This window comes from Homo sapiens, chromosome 4, assembly GCF_000001405.40.
Source record: "Homo sapiens chromosome 4, GRCh38.p14 Primary Assembly".
Lineage (NCBI taxonomy): Eukaryota > Metazoa > Chordata > Mammalia > Primates > Hominidae > Homo > Homo sapiens.
The window spans coordinates 170,586,425-170,592,188 of NC_000004.12; positions in this window are offsets into that span (position 1 = coordinate 170,586,425).

The following is a 5,764-nucleotide window of genomic DNA, read 5'->3' on the forward strand; positions in this document are numbered from 1 at the left end:
CAACATGGTGAAACCCTGTCTCTACTAAAATACAAAAAAAAAAGTTAGCTGGGCATGGTGGCGGGTGCCTGTAGTCCTAGCTACTCAGGAGGCTGAGGCAGGGGAATCACTTGAACCCAGGAGGTGGAGGTTGCAGTGAGCTGAGATCGCGCCACTGCACTCCAGCCTGGTGAGAGAGTGAGACTCTATCTCAAAAATAAAAAACAAAAACAAAAAGTAATTTTGTTAATGAAAAACTTTGCTTTGGGTATTAAACAAATAAATCTGAAGTTGTAACTAAAATAGATTTGAAAACACTTATGTAGTAAAATAACAAACATTAATTGATTCGACTGTGTTCTAAACCCTTTGTTAGGCTCTAAAATAGTAAAGTAAATAAAAATGTAATTCTTTTTCTCTAGGAGATTATAGCTCCAAGTTTCTATGGAAACAATTTTCAATGTTAATATTCAGAGTACATAATTAATTTTATACTTACTTATGTGTACATAATGTCCATAACTAGTTATAGTCAGCAAAGATTGATGGTTTTCTTTTTGTTAGAAATATAGTGAAACTATATATTTTCATCGTCTACATTTTAGACAAAATAAGCTTATTCTTTTGGAAGCAAGAGTTATTTGGGCCAATTGAATATCATCGTACCAATTAAATACCAATTTTCAGAAAGTAATACATAATTGTATGCTTGTGTGCCTGAATCAGAAACATCCCCTTAAAGTAAAAAAGTAAAAAAAATACAAGGAATATGCAAATATCTGAGAAATAGCCTAAGGAATTAGCAGGTGCACCTGTAAGATGGTTATTTTCCTAGTCTTTTTATAAGATATTTGATATTTGGATGGCACTTTGTCTTGCAATAATGCTAAAAACCTTTGTTTGATTTCTAGATCAACCAAAGAAACCAATTTCACACATAACACAGACAAAAATTATACATTGGCAGTCAAGAGAACATATTTTGTAATTCTAGTGGTAAAGAAGGACGCATTAATGAAAACGTGTTTAGGGTTTCTCTACTTGCAATCAGTGTGATATTTTGACAATGTAGATTTGATCATGTCACTTCTCTACACATACACGTCACACATATACATACTCTCACACATGTTCACAGTTGAAACTCATTATTGGATTCTCATTGCTTTAAAGATTAAGACCAAAATCTTCCCCATATCCTAAATGCTCCTGAATAGTGTGCCATGAGCTTTATCCCATGAGATTCTCGATAGCATCTTCTAACTTCAGCCACATTGGCTTTCTTCCTCCATGTTACACATTCTTTTCACTCTTTCTAGAAAGTTCAGAGCCCTCTCTTTCCTGGATTATAGTTAGTTATCCCTCAGGTCTGAATTTAAGCTTTGCTTACCTGAGCCCCAAATGCAGGTCAGATTTATTTGCTTATATTGTTTCCTAGAACCCTGCTTCATGACATTATAGCATGTGCCTCAGATTGTTTTTGTGCATTCATTAGTAAGAGTATTTGATTAATATCTCTTTTCTGCACTGGTCAGTATGCTCCATGAGGTCAGGGGCCATGTCTAGTTTTGTTCACCACTGTATACCCCTAGCCTAGCACAGTGCCTTCATTATTTGATAAATAAATATTTAAATTAAAGATTTGTTTTATATACTGGCATTTGAGACAAAGTGTATTAATTATTAAAGGATGGCAAAGAAGATGAAAATAACTTTAAAAAGAACAACAGGAGAGTGTTAGGGTTTTAAAAGTTAATATAATTTGCTTCTTGTTACATATGATTTTGCTTCAAAACTCATGACTTTCCTTTTTATTGCTACAGGTAGGTACCCACCACCCCACTAAAATTTGTGAGTCATAATTGAGATGATTATTTTTCTCAAAAATGTCTAATGAGAGGGAGGTGAGAAACATTTTCAAGTAATTGGATAATAATCAGAAGTGGGAGGAGTCGATTTAGCAGGATGTGTATTTGTATCTCATAAGAATTTGGGTAAAGCAATATTTGCTAATCTGAGAGTGGTTGGAGATCAAAGAAAGTTGCATGGAGGTGGAGGTGAGAAGAGTGACATAAAGTCAGGTGATTCCCTGAGTCAGTTAACACACAACTTCATAATACTCCCCTGAGCTGGAAGGAGCAAATTGTGAGTTAGGATGGGAAGCAGTGAATAGGTTGCCCCTCATTTGTACAGATCTTAGGGAAATCAACTAGGATTAAAGGTTGTTTTGATAATCAGGTGTGTGTGTGTGTGTGTATGTCTATATATATACATGTATATAATAAATCTGCATGTTTTATAAGTTGATTAAATTAACAATGATTGACCAAATGAATTGCTATGTGTTTTTTCATAAAAACATGACACCATGTTTCATGGAAATCCTTAGCACATAAACTGCACTAACACTAAATTTAAAAATTAATACATTTCTGTATTAAAATTGATTAAGTAACTTAGAATTCAGTATGCCTACTTGAACTCCACATAGTGTAGTTTGACTTAATACACAAATAAATGAATAAAATAGAAAGATACTTAAGTGACGGCCCTGTTCCCCAAGATAAATGGATGTCGATGATACTTGTAATGATCATCACAGATGGAAATTAATAGCTTCCCATAGAATATCATTTCAGCGTTAAATTATGGTGTAATCAAAAATTATTTTGGGCTTATCTAAACTCTCTTGGGGGCATTTTAAGCTCCTATAACTTTATTGGTCATTGGTAAGGATGAAATATAATTGTTATGTGCTCTGATTATGGTTAATTCTATGTATATTTGGAAGAGGCTTTTGCAATCTTTGGTTTCATATTTTACAGTCCAGGTAAGCTTATGTGTCCAATTTATATTCATGAAATAGCTTCCCTTCTCTTGAATACTTTTGTCACCTTTTTTACAACTCCATTAAGTGTCCACAGAGCCCTTTTAAAATGTGAAAGAAACATAATGCTCATCAGCTTAGACTGGCCTTAAGATTATAATAATTAAAGCTAGGTAATGAGTATGTGCTTCCTCATTTTACTACTTTTATTTTTGTATATGTATGAAATTTTCCATGGTAAATGTTTGAAAATTTATCAGCGGAGCCTATTAGGTAAAGGCCAAGCGTGAATGCATGTACATGTGTGAGGTGGTCGTGGGAGCGGGTGAGTAGCTGGTTCTTCAGGTTTTGGATTCAGAGTTAGTGACTGCTTCTTGGAACTCCCATAACTCTGTGCTTCATTGATTCTGGATGGTGTTAGTGAAAGTGAATTTTGCCCAACTAAGTTTTGCTCCAGAAGAACGTGTTGCTTAAAATCTCCTGGTCTCATTATTTTTTATCTGTAACTATTTATTTGATTCCAGTAAGTACCTGAAGAGGGCAGCTTATCACCTAACAATTTTTCTAGGCATTTGCTAGTCATATGCCTAGTAATACTACCTGCATACACTATGTCATCCACCAGGGCACAACATTAGTCAACCCTCTTTTGCACACTCTTTCTCTAGCCAAGATTGTACAGACATGCTCCACATGATATTTTGATCAACAATGGGTCACTTAGATGCCAATGGTTCCATAAGATTATAAGGAAACTGACAAATTCCTATTGCTTAGTGACACTAGCCATTGTAATGTTGTCGCTGAATTACTTTTTTAAAAAATAAATGTAGTATAGTTTTAGTGTACAGTATTTGTAAAGTCTATAGTAGTGTACAGTAATGTCCTAGGCCTGCACGTTCATTTATCCCTCACTCACAGGCTCACCCAGAGCAACTTCCAGTCCTGCAAGCTCCATTCATGGTAAGTGTACTATATAGGTATATCATTTAAAAAATCTTTTATAGCATATTTTTATTGTTTCTGTTCTGTTTAGATATGTTTAGATACACAAATACTTGCTATTGTATTACAGTTGTCTACATTAGGAGTAATAGGTTGTACTGTATAGCCTAGGCATGTAGCATGGTGTACTATCTAGGCTTGTGTTATGTACACTCTATGATGTTTGCACAGTGGCAAAATCACCTAACAAAGCATTTCCCAGAGCATGTCCTCATCATAATATGATGCATAAACTGTAGTTTAATGGAGAAAACATTCACTAGGAGTCAGGAAAGCTGGGTTTTTAAGATTTTGTTGGCCAGGCACTGTGGCTCACACCTGTAATCCCAACACTTTGGGAGGCCAAGGCAGGTGGATCACGAGGTCAGGAGCTCAAGACCAGCCTGACCAAGATGGTGAAGCCCCGTCTCTATTAAAAATACAAACAAAATTAGCCGGGCATAGGTGGCGGACACCTGTAATCTTCAGGAGGCTGAGGCAGAGAATTGCTCAAACCCAGGAGGCGGAGGTTGCAGTGAGTCGAGATCACGCCACTGTACTCCAACCTGGGAGACAGAGTGAGACTCTATCTCAAAAATATATATATATAAATAAATAAAAATAAATAAAAAAAATAAAATTATTTGTTAGCCCCAGATGATTGAGAAAAATTCACATACCCATGTTTCTTGGCTCACTAAAAATTCATGAGGCCTAAACTCATATCTACAGGTCACACCTCTTGTTTATTTCTTATTAACCCTTTCCCATCCCTAGACGTTCTCACGCTTCAGACCTCCTTTTATTTGGGCTGTCACCAATACAGACATTCTTCTTTAATGAGAACACCAGGTCCTGGATTGCAAATTCTTTCAATTGTCATTGTCTTCCTCTTTATGAATCAATGTCTTCAGTGTGTCTGCATCATTCTCCTTTCCCTTTTTCCCCACTTATTTGTGACTTTGCTCACATTTTCTCTGCCTGAATTTCTCTACCACAATTTGGTTACTTGGCAGAATCCTGGTTTTTACTTTAGTCACAAGCAGAGGTCAGTGGTTACAAAACATTTTCATCTGTTCCTGCGGATGGAATCAATGACTCGGCCATCTCTGTTCCCACAGCACTAGCTTCAGAGCTCTATCGGAGTGGAGTTTTGTAAAGTGATTGTCTTCATTTGCTTCATTGATTAGGCTGCTCCTCCTGCTAAATGATGGGTTCCTTGAGGGAAGCACATCTTTTCTAATTTGTATCCCTAATTCCAGTGCACAGAACGTGGGCCATTGTAATAGGCACTTAGTAAATTTTAACCAGAATTGAAATATTTTTCACCTCTGCCTGAGGAAAAACTAAAAACATAGTGCCTCTTATCCAAAATAATAATAACAATAATCTGTGTTCTTGATTCCATTTCTTTCCACATTTTAAAACACATTGCTTTCCTAGATTATCTTTTATTTTGTTTGCATTTTCTCTTTTCCACTGGCTTTTGTTTTCTTGTTCAAGAAATCCTCACATCCTGCCATTCAGGGGCTTCTCACTTCCCAAACCTGAAACCTCTGGTCCCAGTTGTGCGTTGGCTCACTGATGTTTTTTCTCTCCCTTCTGCCATTCTCCATAGGTTCTCATAATGCTTCCTGACAAATGCCTGAGTGCTGGGCCAGCAGAGGCATGTCTGGGAAGAGGAAAGGAGGGGGAAACAGGCAATTTCCACCATTCACTCCTCCAAACACCTCCCAGATTTCTGAGATTCTCTTTCTCAATTTTTTCAAGCACGGTGTTTTTGTCTTTTTCTGAATGCTCTTCTCCTTATTATAAAAAGAGTTTTTTTCAGAAAATAAAAAAATCCCAAACACTTTGTCTTCAGCTGTCCTCTCTCTTTAATTTTTTTACACCAAAAAAAGTTTTGCTGATATTACCTGCTCTGAAGATGTTTTTGAGTCCATTTGGATCATTCCAAAATCTAGCTTTCTAACC